The sequence below is a fragment of the Homo sapiens genome, chromosome 1 (assembly GCF_000001405.40).
Source record: "Homo sapiens chromosome 1, GRCh38.p14 Primary Assembly".
NCBI classification, from domain to species: Eukaryota; Metazoa; Chordata; class Mammalia; order Primates; family Hominidae; genus Homo; species Homo sapiens.
The window spans coordinates 228929993-228945726 of NC_000001.11; the positions used below are offsets into that span (position 1 = coordinate 228929993).

At 47.9% G+C, this 15734-nt stretch overlaps 1 long non-coding RNA gene across 1 annotated transcript in view; it reads right to left on the reverse strand.

Annotated features, from left to right (window-relative positions):
* Positions 1-15734, reverse strand: part of LOC124904539 (uncharacterized) — a 19823-nt gene continuing 4089 nt past the window's right edge. Inside the window, exon 3 of the long non-coding RNA XR_007066920.1 lies at positions 1-1942. This is a non-coding gene — a long non-coding RNA (uncharacterized LOC124904539). The remainder of the gene's footprint in view (positions 1943-15734) is intronic.

Genomic DNA, 15734 nt, shown 5'->3' on the forward strand with positions numbered 1-15734 from the left:
AACAGGCAAATGAATAAGCAAATTATGGCATTTCCACAAAATGGAATGACACTCAGAGATGAAAGGAATACACTATTGATACAGACAACAGTATGGGCAGATTTCAAAGTAATTATGCTAAATGGAAAAAAAAGCCAGACAAAAATAACACATACTGTATGATTTCATTTATATAAAATTCTAGAAAATGCAAACTAAGCCATAGAGACAGAAAACGTATCAATGATTGCTGGGAAGGGATGGGAGGTTGGGCTTGTGTGGGGGAAGGGGGAGCAAGGTGGGCTTACAAAGGACATGGGGAAACTTGGAAATGATGGAGGCGTTTGTTATTTTGATTGTGATGACAGTTTCACACATGTACACCAATATCAAAATTCATCAAATTGGGCACTTTAAATATGTGCTGTTCATTTTATCCTAGCTATACATGAATAAAGTTGTTTTTTAAAAAGCATGTATAAAATCTGGGGCGAATGAAGTAAACAGGTATTTGTCTTCAAAGTTTCACATCCCAGATGAGTGAGTGGCCCCATTAAGCCGCACCCCACAGGATGGCATCTGAGCAGGGCCATTTCTTCTGGGACTGCCCATACCACATTCCCCAAATGCTCTGGCATTTTAACACTTCCATCAATCATCTCAAGCTCGGGTTTCCAAGTACCGTGTGGCTGTGGTGTCCCTGTCTGCTGCGGTGCAAACAGGGCTGGAGACTTCCACACCTGGTCTTTACGAATGTGTGTTTTCTGTGTTCAGTTCCTTCACCACGAGGATTTCCAGCTGAGTCACGGGTTTATCAGTAGTGAGAAGTACACATTCAGGCGAAAGTGTCTGGAGTTAGAGGCAGCAGGAATTCAGCTCTTACAGGCTATCTCTATAAATGTTCCACGTTCATATAGTGAAGTGTGCAGAAAAGAACAGTTGCCCAGGAGGTTTACACCGTGTAGGTTTGCTCATAAAAGAAAATTGCTAGGAGAGCAGAGGGCAAGGGCAGCTCCAGTCCCGCAGCTCTGCCCATTATTGCTGCACAAGAAGTAAATTCCTTTACTTTCTTAAGCCTCAGTTCCTCCATTTGCAAAATAACCATTGTGATATCTTGCAGAGTTGTTGGAAGGATCCAAAAGAAAATGGTTACAAAAGCTTTTTTTTTTTTTGAAGTAACCGTTCTTTACAAATGTTAGGTATATCCAAGTTTGACTTAAGGGGAGTGTATTAGTTTGCCAGGACTGCCCTAACAAAGTGCCACAGACTGAGTGGTGTGAACAACAGAAATCTATTTTCTCACAGTGCTGGAGGCTGGAAATCGATGTCTTGCAGACAGCCGTCATCTCCCTGTGTCCTCACGTGGTCTTCCCTCTGTGTGTGTCTGTGTCCTCATCTCCTTTTCTTTTAAGGGAACCAGTCATATGGGATTAGGGGTCACCCAAATGACTTCATTTTAGCTCAATCACCTCTATAAAGGTGACTGAACTCTATCTCCAAATACATTCACATTCTGAGGTCCCAGGGGTTAGATCAATGTGTGAATGTTGGGGAGACACAACTCAGCCCACAGCAGGGAGATTGGTGTGGGTGACGGGCATCTGATCACCATATTTTTTCCCCAATTATATTGGAAAATGGACAGTATCAAGTATAGCAGAGCCAGTACGGTGTGCCAAAGGTGATGAGGCCCTCATCATCACATTTCGCTCGCTGGATTTCGATTTCTATTTTGTCCCTTTGCCCTTTTCTGTGGATGGCGACCAAATCAATGGTGGAGGTCAGATGTAAGTCTAGGAAACCACCTATAAGGACACTTTCTACTAAGTAGTCCCTGAGTCCCTGGAGACTTGTCCCCCTTTCCTGTCACTCTCCTCTTCACACAGACCACTCCTCCTGAAGAGGATCAGGTAGTGATGCTGTGGCTGCTGTGGGCAGAAGTTGAGGTGAGATCCAGGGGCTGCTGTGGGCAAAAGTTGGGGTGAGATGCAGGTGCAGAGCTGTTAACATTATCTTGGAGAAAATTAGTGTTATGCAAACCAAAAAGTGACTTTATTTGTTGGACTGTTTTTAGCTTCAAGGGACAATGAGTGATTTAGAATGGGGCTATTCCCATGTGGTCGTTGCCCATGGAAAGAATGCTGTGGAATATCTGTTTGTCCACTGGCATTTGCTACAACTTAGCATGGCATCTCCAGATGAGATAGGCAGAGAAAAGCCGGACAAGGGCCAGCCTAGTGACCCTCTTGGGTAAGTGCTCCTGATCACATGTGCAAAATAATGTTTGGGGTGTATTGGAGAGTTGAAAACCAGTGAGCTCTTTCCTGGACTTGTCTACTAAGAGCTTTTCATTTTCTCTTGTAGCAAACTAAATTGAAGTCCTGGAGGAAGATCCTGAGCCATGGGAGGGCAGCTCCACATGCCACAGAGCAAACGAGGCAGCTTCACCTCTGCTCTGCTCATACCGTGCTGGTGCTCACCCCTTCTGATGGGAAGGGTGACAACAAAGTCAGCGGGCATCTGTGGATCAGTTCAGACACAGCCCCCTGCTTTCCTGGCAGGGGCCAGGTGCACATCAGATACCTGTATTGCGTATGTCGGAATGGACACCAACTTCCTCTGGGTACATCCCTAATCACCAGCAATAACCCTGAATCATTTATCACAAAGGCCTGCTGCCAAAGCCCTTCGAGACCCCAGTGAACTGCTGTTGGCTTTCCCTTCTGAGATTTTGCTGGTACATCACAGTGAGCCATCACTACTATTTGTTTTCTCAACTTATTACACTAGTGTGCCAGCACATGAGACACTAGAAATTTAGTGCAGAAGTCTGTGCCTTTTTCGAGTGTATGTGTGGGCATTTTTCTGGGGAGGGATTTATCAGATTATGCTTGGCCAAAAGTGCCAAGTATGAGATGCCAATTACTCATTCCACTGTCCCATATAGAACAGAACTAACACAAATTGATAGTGGGAGATGTGGGGGATCTTGGTGGTTATCTCAAGAATCAACCACAGCATCTAGTGCTGAGCCTTCATAATTATACTTATCATCAACCTGAAGATTTTTTTATAATAAACTAATACACCCCTGTATTTGTTTCCCAAGGCTGCTACTAACAATGTACCCCAAACAGAGTGGCTTAAACAGAAATGTATGGTCTCAGAGCTCTGGAGGCTGGAAGTTCAAGGTCAAAGTCTTGGCAGGGTTGGTGTCTTCTGAGGACCGTGAATGAGAATCTGTTCTAGGCCATTCTCCTGGCTTCTAGTAGCCTCAGGCATTCACTCCTTGGCTTATAGATGGCATTTGCCCCATGTCTTCACAAGCCTTCCCTCTGTACAGGTTGGCTTCCAAATTTCCCTGTTACATAAGAACACCAGTCATACTGGATTAGGGTCTACCCTAATGACCTAATCTTAACTTGATCATCTGCAAAGACCCTATTCCTAAAGAAGGTCATATCTACAGGTGCTTGGGGTTAGAACAGCTTTTGGGCAGACACAGTTCAATCCATAACAGCCCTTCAGAATCACCACCATCAACTCAGTGCTTATTCAAGAGCCAGGGTGCAACATTGAATGCTGTTGGGCTGAACCATCTGCCCCAGAGACCCCAGGTCATGCAGGGCAGTCTCTACTGCATATTCCAAAGGTGTTCCTGGCCAGTCTGTTGCTGCTGATTCAATCACATGATTTACCATTTAAACCTCAGACTGGACTGATTTTGAAGGTGCGTGGAGAATTCAGTGGAGGGATCTCCTAAAGAAGTCAGGCTGCCAGGGAGTTCCTAGCCCTTAGGAGAAAGATACTTGGCAATTCCAGGAGGTTGAAAAGCTCTCCCTCTATCCTTGTTTATGAACTTTCACTCCCACCATTCCCTCACTCCACCTGGAGCACTCCTCTCCACCCCCTTTCTCCCTGTGGCCCACTCCAATCTCTTTCAACACCCAGAGCTCACCCTGCCTTCCCTTTTCTTTCCACGTTTACAAACTGGAAGTGCCGTTGAGTCTTCACTGGACTCTGGACCTCTTGCATGGAATGCTTACTTTCACTCCTGTCTTCCAGCCCTTCCTGAATCCCAGCCTACTGGAGAATGGGGTTGGAGTCTTCTTCAAGGACCTTTTCTCCCCAGACGCCCTGCAATGCCTGGCAGGGTGCTTTATGTGCAGAAGGGCTACATATCCTGGAAAGTGGGCTTGAAGCTTCAGGTGGAGCCCTGGAATTGATTGTGCCATTCCAGGAAACTTCCCACAAGCAGCCCAAGACCCTGATTGTCTACAGAAAATCATACAGACACCTTAATCCAGAGTTCTTTTTACCTTCAGGACTACTGCCAAGGTGGGCCTCCTGTGGGAGAAAAGGCTTCTGTCAAAATAGCTCCAAGTGTCCTGGTTCCACCTGAAACCTCCATTGCCACATTGCAGTGACGGGCCTGTCATTTGCAAAGTGCAGGCCACCAAAACTAGTTTCTGGCAGCAAATTGGCATGTACATATAACAGTTAGGTCTAAGGGCTCTGCAGACAGGATATTTATGAGTGGCGCCTTCACCACACTTTAAAGAAAATGGTCTAGTTGAAAAAATGATATAGACACATTCTCCCAAAGTTACTGACATTGACAGTCTTTCATGCCACTACTTGCTCTTCCTCCTCTGCTGGGTGTCCCCTCCACTTAGCCTGGCAGACTCCTCAGCCTTTAAGAACCATTGCAACCATAAAAATAATGAAATCATGTCCTTTGCAGCAACATGGATGCAGCTGCAGGCCATTATCCTACGCGAATTAACGTAGGAACAGAAAATCAAATACCGCCATTCTCACAAGTGGGAACTAAACATTGCGTACTCATGGATATAAAGATGGGAATAGACACTAGGGACTACTAGAGGGGGCAGAAAGGGAGGGAGGAGAGAAGGGTTGAACAAACTACTGGGTACTGTTTTCACTACCTGGCTGACAGGATCATTCGTATCCCAAACCTCAGCATCATGCAATATGCCCACCATGTAAACAAGCCTACACATGCACCACCCCCCCCCCGAATCTAAAGTAAAGTTGTAATTACAAAATAAATCAATAAATAAGTTAATAAATGAAAGGACCATCACATTGTTTTTCCTACAAGCAGCCTTCCCTGGTCCCCTCACAAGCACATCCTCTCCCTCAACGCTAGTCAAGGAACTCTTTCCACCAATGGGTTCCTGCAGCACTTTGTGAGGACTCAGTTAACACACTGTGGGGCTGCTTTTTCTGGCTTTCTTTCTGTGTCGCCACCAGCTTGAGGACAGAACACTGCTTTACTTCTGTCCCTGCCTCCCTGGGCAGGTTCTGGTGGTAAGGGCTGTTTTGTTTACTTTAAATCACCCCAGGCCTCTCTTGCCAAAGGTCAAGATTCAGTAGTCATATTCTATTAAAGTACAGACAGGACTTTGGACCAAAGGCAGAGATGTCACAGTGATCAGTGCCCACCAAGAGGACAACACTCCAGGCTCAGATGAGTCACAGCCAGCCACGCCTGAGGGCTGTGAGGAGGCAGACCTGGACCACCATGGACCAAAGGTCAGCCTAAAGCGAACTCACTTGCAAAGACAGGCAGATGACAAGGTCAAGCAAATGACCGGAAGTGGCTCTAGAGTAGTGGTCCCCAAGGGCCAAGCCATTTTACTATTGCCAAAATGCCCTTTATTTGAATAACTGCAGGTGACTGCAGTAGGGACAATTGTCTATTTTAATACCAGTCTTTGGAAAAATAGAAAACCGGCCACCCCGTGAAGTGTACAAGACTGAAAGCCCTGCTGCAGAGGAGGCACTTCTCATCGACTTACCGGCTGCCTCTTCCCACTGCAGTACTGATGAGGGAGGTAGCTAGCCAGGCATGAGCAGGGCAGGAGGGGCTCTCCCAACACACACACCAGGAATGTCAGACAACCATCAGGTGATGATCAGGTTGTTGTTAACTGTCTCTCTAAAATAATAATTGGGCACAGCCAGCACCAGGGAAAGGCAGTCTCCCAATAAACAGAAAACACCTGAAGCTGGTGATCAGCTGCTTCCCGATAAGGTTGCAGGGGATTGGGTGAGTGGGCTCAAGCATGCGCACTAAGAGGCAAAATGGAGGCGTTTAGCTGGCATATGACCTTCCTCTAGGAATGCCAGATTGGTAAGGGAAGAACGCCTCAAGTGAGCATGTGTACAACTCCAGTAAACACACTGTGCATGCCCCGCTCTCAAGCACCGTTACTGCGCATGGGAACAGCCCACCCGAACAGCCCACCCCAAGGGAAGAATCAGAGGAGAAGTAATGCAAGACCCTGGAAGCGTGCCAACATATAAACCCCAAATCAAAGGTCAAACCCTGCACTCGACCTCACAAGTTGCCTGCTTGGCTGTCTTCCAAGTGTACTTTACTTCCTTTCACTTCTGTTCTAAAACTTGCCTTGGTCTTTTCTTCTGCCTTATGCCCCTCAGTCGAATTTTTTCTTCTGAGGAGGCAAGAATGGAGGTTGCTGCAGACCTGCGCAAGTTGCCTCTACTAATGACATGTCACCAGAGCGTGTGAGCAGGGTGCTGGGCTGGGCTCTGGCCACCCCAAGTGCTCTAGGACAGCCCCTGCCTGCAAGGACTTACAGCTAAATTGGGACATGGGAACAGATGTAGACCTGTGGGCCCAATATAGGGTGCTGGGTGCCCCTCTGAAAGTGCGGCCCCAACAACACATCCTCGGGTCAAGGCACACAAGGCCTCTGGGTCCCCACTTCCACTCCACCAGGCAGATTCTACTTTTTTTTTTTTTTTAATGTACTGGGGCTCTGCTCATGGTTTATTTTAAAGAAAAGTTTCTGCTGCTTTAAAAAAAAAAATTGAAAACCCTGAAAACTGTCCCTCTGGCCTGAGCTCATTTCCTGGGTGAGGAAACAGAGGCCCCGAGAAGCCTGAGGACTGTCCAGCATCCCATGGCTGGGTGGCTGGTAGATGGCCAGCCCGGGCAGAGCCTGGTCTCTCGGTGATTTTCACTGTCTCTCTCCATTTGTGTCATATCTGTGTCCTCTCCATTTGCAGCAGGGACTTACACCTCCTTTTCACCTGCACCAATGCCAGGATGGAGATTTGCTTATGCCCCTTGGCCCTGCAGGCAGCCCAGCGACTCACAAAGTCTCAGGACCCTACTGCAGGGGTCCCCAACCCCCAGGGCCACAGACCTGTGCCAGTCCCCAACCACCCTGGGCATGCCCTGCAGAGGTACCAAGCCCGGGGCTGGAAGGGCGGGGATGAAGATTATGGATGCCATCTGAATCTTTTCAAATTCAACACATTTTTTTGGACACCAAAGCACTTTTTGTACATTTAAAAAAAATTACTCTAAACACTAAACCTGGAAGTTGTTTTCTGAAGAAGGTGAGGGGAGAGCACCTCCCCCAGGCAACCTAGATCCCTCGCATGCACAGTTCCCAACACGGAGTCTTGTGGAAGGGAGCGCTCAGTAAGATGTCATTTAGCTTAAAGACTGTGGATGCCTGAGCATGCCGCGTTTCCCGCAGCCGTGCTTCTTGCTTGGTGCTCAGTCTTGGCAAAGTCATCTCCGGCCCTACGTTCTCAGGTGTGAACGGTGGAGTCAGGGGTGCTGAGGGTCATGCTCACTCACCAACTACCCTGCACCAGCACCCTCCCCCCTGCACTGGTTTTCTGTGCTCTCGTTTGGTGTCCCCAAAATCTTGAGGCCTGTAGGATTATCACCACTACACAGAAGAGGAAACCGAGGGTTAGAGAGGTGGTCTGAATGTCTAAGAAGGGAGATCCAGGATTGGAACCCAGATTTGTACAACTCCAAAGCTCTCTTGTGACCTGTGCCGCCTCCCAAGGGGTGAGCAATCGTGCCTCCCTTTCCTCTGCTCAGCCACCCTGCAGCTCACACAGCTGCAGTAATGACTGCTCTCGAGAGAGCTGCCCCACCCAGAGGGGTTTAAGGCAGAGAAGAGCGGCCTGCAGCCTAGTTTCTCTCAGTGTGCCTTACAGCCAAAGCCAAAGACTGAGGCCGACTCCCAGGACAGGGCCGCTACCCTGGCCTCAACACCACAAATGACTGGACGCAGCTGCTGGCAGAAAAAGCCGCACTCCAGGCATTTAGTACCTAACCGAAGAAATCCAAAGATTCTTATCTGTGCCTTGCTTCTCAACTGCAGAGGTTCTTCCCTTTTGTCCTAACACACTGGGAGGGAACTCTGCACTGATGACAAGTAACCATGAACGTGATTCCTTTCCCTCCTGCGGTGGTCATCTTCAGCAACTCTAGCCGTGAAGCCAGCCTGCCTGTCTCTTTCTTTGCTTGTGTTGGGTCATATTACTGAAGAAAGAATAATAGCAACACTGTTACCCGCCTGTGTACCAGTCTTTGTTCACGGGAGGTTTTAGGATCTCTATGACACACGCAGGCAGAGCATGCCACCGTCACTTAGGAGGGGAAGCCAGAGGTCTTGGAAGTCACACACTAGCAGGGAAGAGACCTAGGTTTTCCCATGGCTCACTGCAGCCTCCCTGAACTCTTTTTCCACAGATGCTAGGCTGACACTCCCTTGTCCCCCTCTAGAGCTCTGTGAACAGGAAGAGGTTGTCTTCTAGCTGTGTAGAGGCTGGGGGAACAGCCCACAGTGCAAGCCACGACTACCTGCTCTGAAGTGGAGGGGCTGTGGAGCAGACAGCAGACTTCTCCCAGCTGAGCAGAGCTGGGCAAAACAGATCGATCTAAACCGCCCTTAGCGGATGTTCTCATTTCCCTGCTGCCCTAAAAGTGGTGTCCGCCTGAGGTGAACACTATAAATAACTGTTCACAGGCGGGTTGTTAAGGACTCTATGGCCTGTGTTGGCAGAGACAGATTCCGGGAAGTCAGTGACTTGGTCACTTCCTACTTAAAACGCAGGGCACCAAGGAGCCTATTTTGGGCTAAATGCAAAAGCCTGGGAATCAAAGAAGAAACGTTAGAGGAGAGACCGACCTCTTGCTTTTAGCCACAGTTTGGAAAAGTTTTTTGTTGTTCTCAATAGTTCGATGGAAAGTGGTAAAAATGCTTTAATTAATTATTAACCTTGGTATTTTTCTTCATAGTTCTCAACATGCTTCACACACCTTTCCTTCTTTGAGCCTCAAAGCAACACTGTGAGTAATCTTATTGTTGTGAACCCATTTTACAGGTGAGAAGACAGAGGCAATAAACATAAGGGCTGGGCCTCACACCTGGATCTGCTGCTCCCTAGCCCCTAGTTATTCCTTCGCCTCACACCCAAGGCCATGATCTCACTAAAAAGAAACACCTTTAAGAGCAGGCACCCCTGCCTGATTCAGTCAGCAGTAAGCCATCAGCAGATCTTGCCCAGTTATAGCCTGGTCCACCTGTTTGTAATAAGCATAGTGAGAAGGACAGAATCACAGCTAGGTGGTTGGCAGGTTGAGTTGAGACTGACCACAGGGTGTGTTTGGTTTCTGGATGGGGCTGGGGTCCTTCTGAGCGTGAGACAATAGATGACACTCAGCCACAGGAGGCTGGGCCCAGCAGGGCCTCCGGCCTCAAAGCAGCGGGGTAGCAGCTCTGAAGTCAGAAGTTGAGGCTGCAGTCTTGAGGCAGAATTTCTTCTGTGGGACACCTCAGTTTTTGCTCTTAGGGGGATCAACGGAATGAGGCCCATCCACATGATCAGGGGCAATCTCTTGAAAATCAGCTTATTGTACATGTGACCCACACCACAAATACCTCCACAGCAACGTCCACATTAGTGTTTATTAAATAACCGGGTCCTATAGCCTAGCCAAGCTGATGCATGAAACTCACCATCACATCCTGTATCCATCTACAGCTTTCTAGGGCACTGTGGTAGCCCAGGTGAGGCGTTGTGCTCTAAACTCAATTCTCTGGAACAAAACTGCTGGGCCACTTTTTTGTTAGTTCCTGTATCTCTCCTCTGATGTGCACAATTGTGGCTCAGGATTATGAAGTTCCAGAGCAGAGGACAGGGAAGGAAAGAGGGAGCAAGTGCCTGGGAGGAGCAGTAGCCGGCTCTGCCACTCAAGTGTGTGCTTTTCCCCCAACCCACACCTGTCACTGAGGCAGCCGTCCCTGCTAATGGATGTGACTATGAAAGTATCGTATCCCAGTTCATCCAGAGACCAAATGGGGCCGCGTAAAAGAGCCACAGTTTTGCCTAAGTGAGATTGCAGCAGACACGAAGGAGAGCCAAGGCACTGGACAAGGACACAGGTCAGGCAGAAGCACAGGAACAAAACTGTTGGTCCCTGGTCGGGGTCCCCCAACTTCTCTTGCAAGCAAATCTACATATAAATCCACATTTTCTCATGACTATGGTTCAGTTGATGGTCAGCTTACAAGTAACACCTGGACATGGCAGTTTAGGGAGAGAAGGTTAGGAGGCCTAATCCTGTGATTTCTGGGGAAAAATGTTCTGTTGGAGGGGAACCCAATGTGCAGCCTCATGATAGAGTCCTGGGGAGATGGTTGATTTGTTAGATTCAGCCCCCAGAGGCTTGCCTTGGAGTCTCTCAGGGCTGACAGGACTAAGGGGGTCGCTAGTCAAGACAGGCCAGGGCACAGGCTCCTGGTGACGCATCTGTACTGGGTCTGCATTCTGAAAACAGCCTTGCTGGCCACTGGGCCATATGGACCTTGAGAGGGTCCCAAAGTCCATGAAATGGGGGGCATGGTGGAGATGGGAAGGCTGCATCCCTCGTCCCACTGGGTCCCCTGAGCCTCAGCGCCCTCCCTCCCTTGCTGGGGACAGCACTCTGTGGCTGCTGCTGGGCAGGGTGGGGCTTTGTCACCTGCTGAGTCCCCTCCATTGTCTCAGCGGACTCTGAGACTTTTCTTCAGGCTGGGCTTTTTCTGACTACTGGGGTGGTGGGGAGCAAGGCTGCTGTGCTACCTCATCCTATTGCCGACCCCCAGCGGGCCTCCCCTCTTTACCCAAGAGATAGCTTTTCCCTCATATCCCCACAAAATGCACACCTCTGCACTTTGAGGAGAATTCCAATGTGAAGTATGAGCTACAGGGTTGGAGGGCGTAATCTCAACTCCGTTACTGCAACTGTCCCCATAGTGTTGACAAATTGTATGCCGGGTTCTGGACAGAAATATCATTGTAATGAAGCATTACTCAGCGTGCACTTCTGCCCACTTCCTTGTTGCTGAAAGCCGTGCAGCACTGGATTCTGACCACTTACATCCCCGTTGTTCCTATAGACAGGATTTCTGGCATTAGGGTCCTAAGGCTGCTTAAGAATTAATTTGCATCTGCATTGTTCCCATAGACAGGATCTCTGACATAAAGATCACTTAATATGCTTTTCAGAACAGTGGATCAGAGTGAGAATACAGCTTCTTCATCTCGCCCTGCCCCAGGACTTCACCCTGCACTCATCAACCAATCAAGGATCTCCACACCTTGGCCCACTTCAAAACCTTTAAAAACTCTTACCCTAAACTCCTCAGGAAAATGGATTTGGGGTTCCTTCCCATCTCATTTGGTGACCCTACCTCTTTCTCTGCTGCAACCCAGTGTCTGGGCATATTGACTGGCTGTGTGCATTGGGCAATGAACCTATTTGTTAGGATGATGACAATGAATTCCTTCCCCATCTTGCTTGGGAAATATTCACACTTGTTTGGGGTGCACTTGAACCCTTGCCCACCAGTATGGATGAGACAATAAATTGTGCAGAAAAATGGCAACCAATATGGGAAAACCTAATTAGAATTAATGACAACATTCTTGGGTAATAACAATTGTGTTCATTAGGTTTGGTGCTGTTTTACATGCATTATTTCTTGTACTTCTCCCAGTACCCCTTATGAGATAAGAACTATCACCATCCTCATTCTTCCAAAAGAGGAAGCTGGGGCTTAGTGGTGTAAATACTTTGCCTGCCAGTGGCAGAGCCAAATGCCAGGGCAGACTTCAGAGCCTCGAGTACCTGTTGTTTTTGTTTTTGTTTTTTTTTTAACTGCAGGTCAAGTTTCTTTCTAGGTAATCTTATTTCCTTATTTTGGGTCAGAGAATCAGAGATTTGTTCTTATGTGTGGATGTCTTTATACATGCTCCTGATCCAAGGGAGAGGAGGTGTTGAGCCCTGTGGCTGTAGTTGAGAAGGGCAATTCTGAGAGACAGGACTAGCTGGATTTCCTAGGCCAACTAAGAATCCCTAAGCCTAGCTGGGAAGGTGACCACTTCCACCTTTAAACACGGGGCTTGCAACTTAGCTCACATCCAACCAATCAGATGGTAAGGAGAGCTCACTAAAATGCTAATTAGGCAAAAACAGAAGGTAAAGAAATAGACAATCATCCATTGCCTGAGAGCACAGCAGGGAGAACAAGGATCGGGATATAAACCCATGCATTCGAGCCAGCAATGGCTACCCTCTTTGAGTCCCCTCCCTTTGTATGGAAGCTCTGTTTTCACTCTATTTCACTATATTAAATCTTGCAACTGCACTCTTCTGGTCCGTGTTTGCTATGGCTCGAGCTGAGCTTTCGCTCACCGTCCACCACTGCTGTTTGCCGCAGTGGCAGACCTGCCGCTGACTTCCATGCCTCCAGATCAGGCAGGGTGTCTGCTGTGCTCCTGATCCAGTGAGGCACCCATTGCTGCTCCCGATCAGGCAAGAGGCTTGCATTGTTCCTGCATGGCTAAGTGCCTGGGTTCATCCTAATCGAGCTGAACACTAGTCACTGGGTTCCACAATTCTCTTCCATGACCCATGGCTTCTAATAGAGCTATAACACTCACTGCATGGCCCAAGGTTCCATTCCTTGGAATCCGAGAGGCCAAGAACCCCAGGTCAGAGAACGCGAGGCTTGCCACCATCTTGGAAGTGGCCTGCCACCATGTTGGGAGCTCTGGTAGCAAGGACCCCCCAGTAACAATTCTATCCCTCATCTCTTTTCTCTCTGTACCTGTGGGTGCTGGGGAAATGCCAAAACATGGTCAATGAGACCTTAAGGAATTAAGGATGCAAAATAGAACTGCAAGAGCCTTTGTGGTCACTGGGGACGGTCCCATTGATAGGGACAGGAGGCAGTGAAATTCTGGGCAGAAAAGGGTGGGTCCCCAGCGAGGGCTCCACCCTGAAGCCAAAAAGCCTAATACTGCAGCCCAAAGTGAGAACATACATCCCTGATTTCCCGTTCCAATGTTGCCTTTTCCAAAACCACCCATGGCCCACCTCACCCCCTATCCTGTGCCTATAAAAACCCCAGAACTCAGCTGGCAGAGAGGAGAAGCAGCTGGATATCAGAGACTACGGTCAAACGTGGGAGAGAAGTGGCTTGGCTTCAGAAGGACAGCTTGACAGCTTATCTTCGGAGTGGAGTCTGGCCAGGCATGGCTGGACTCCAGAGGAAGATCACCTTCCTGCCCCATCTGCTTTCTAGCTCCCCTTCCCACCGAGAGCCACTTTCATTGGCAATAAAATCCCCTGCATTTACCATCTTCAAGTTGTTCATGTGACCTCATTCTTCCTGAATGCCAGACAAGAACTCGGGTGCCATGAGTTGGGGTGCAAAAGGCTGTCACACTGACCTTCCATTGAGCTGTTAACACTTATGCTGTCCATGGATGGCAAAGCTAAAAGGGCACTGTAACCCCCCTACTGGGGCTTCAGGGTTGCAGTCACCCCTTAGATGTTGCCGTGGGGTTGCACAAAGTTTTGCTCCTGCCGGTGCCCAAAAGCGCTCACCCTGGCTCCTGCACCTGCTCACCTGTACTCCCCCTCCCACAAGGGGTGGAAGGCAGCAGGACCAAGCCAATACAGTCTGCCCCTGCTGGCACCAAAGTGGCTGGCTAGTTCTAGTGCCCATGCACTCTAGTTCCTGCCTGTGAAAGGGTCAGGAAAATATCCTGCCTCACCGTCAAGGCAGATGTGATGTAAGCAGTTAAGTGACTAAGTAAGGATTTGCTAAATACCAATCAGGCTAGAAAAATAAAGTCCTATTGCAGGGAGGGGTCCCCTGATGCTTTGTCTGCGTGGCAGAAGGGAAGTCAGGGGTTTAGGTAATGGATGAGATCCTGTGACATCTTAACTGGACCACTAGGAAAGAAACCCCAACATCAGTGGTTGAAACTGTGTTCAAAACACACAGACAAGGTTTGGGAAGCAGAATTAGAGTGTCCCCAGTCTGGAGTGATTTTCTTAGAAAGCAATTGCTTATGTAGATTGATGTGAGAACCTGGGCTCATGATACTTGTCCAGGAAGTGGAATTCACCATGTTAGTAGTTCTTTTCCTGCAAGGTTGATGCCAAGGCATACCTACATGGCTGCCCTCATAGGGAATTTAGAGTAGGAGCTTGGTTTTGAAGGATGGCCCGCTTCTCCTACTTGAGCAACTCATATTTTAGAATATAGTGAAAATTCATAATTTGAAAAAAAATTTAGACTCTTCCCTAAATTCACTGTGTCTTTCTGGAGTGTAGGCCAAGTTGAATGCAAACAGGGCTGCCGTAATTTCCCAGCTGCAGTTCCCAAAACTAGACTGTGGCTGCTTTGCAAGAATGACAACAATATGACTGGGGAGGAAGAGCACTCTCAGCCTCTGCTCCCTAGAGCCAAGTGACTGACTGCTTTCCAGCAGGAACAGTGCTGCCACTTCTCCCAGGACAAGCCCATTATTTTTAATGCTGGATTAATACATAATGATGAGTGGTACTTAACATGTTAATGGGTCATTAATTATTGCTGAAACTCTAATGAATTCTAGAGGTGGGGGACAAATAGCAAAGCACACAGATTTGGAGTGAATACCCTCCCAATTACCAAGATCATAGTGAATATGACATAAGTAGAAAATGATAGGATACTTAAAATTATATATCACCAACTGCATTTGTGAGACTTATGTCCTGCTTTTCCTACCATTCTCTGAGAGGAGACTTGAGGGCTAAACAGGGACAATGTAGCTATGCAACTGGGAGAAAAACCTCATTCTCCTGTATTATCTGCTCTAGACCCTGCAAATAGGCCAATGTGAATGTACAAGAGATTAAAGTATATTTCTACAAAGCAGCATTCCCTTAGGGAACCCAGTGAAAGCACACAAAGGATGTTTTGACTTTGCTCTTGCATTTTGATTCTTTTTTCCCCTAAGTGCAATATGACTAAGCAGGGTCAAATAGAGGTGACAATAGACGTTACTGTATGTTAGCAAGCACTCTGGTTCCCCTCACTTCAGACACTTACCACTGCACTCCCTAGTCACCCCTTTGAAGCCAGACCGTGCGACTTGCTTTGGCCAATACATTGTGTGATGTGTGTCACTTCTAGGCTGAAGCTTTATGAACAGCATGAGATTCGCGGCATCCCTTTTCTGCCTTGGCAATCATGGATGTGTGTGTTGAGATGGAGCCTTCATCATCTTCAGTCCCTGAGTTGTGATAATGAACAGAGACCTTCTCCCAACCCATATTGGAGCAAGAATGAGATATAACATTTTATAGTGTTAAGCCACTGAGATTTTGGGGGCATTTTTGTTCCAACAGCCCATTTTGACCAATACAACTTCAGAAACAATGGCCCTGGGTAAGTCAGAGGCATGGAACCCTCCCCAATGCTTGGTGATTTTGCTAACAGTGGGTTGGTGGTTTTAATATATGTCCCAAATTCTTTGACAGCATGCCTTCTTTCAAGGGAGAGCTTAATTTTTCTCCTCTTGAGTACAAGCTGAACTTGGTGACTTGCTTCTAATGAATAGAACAAGGC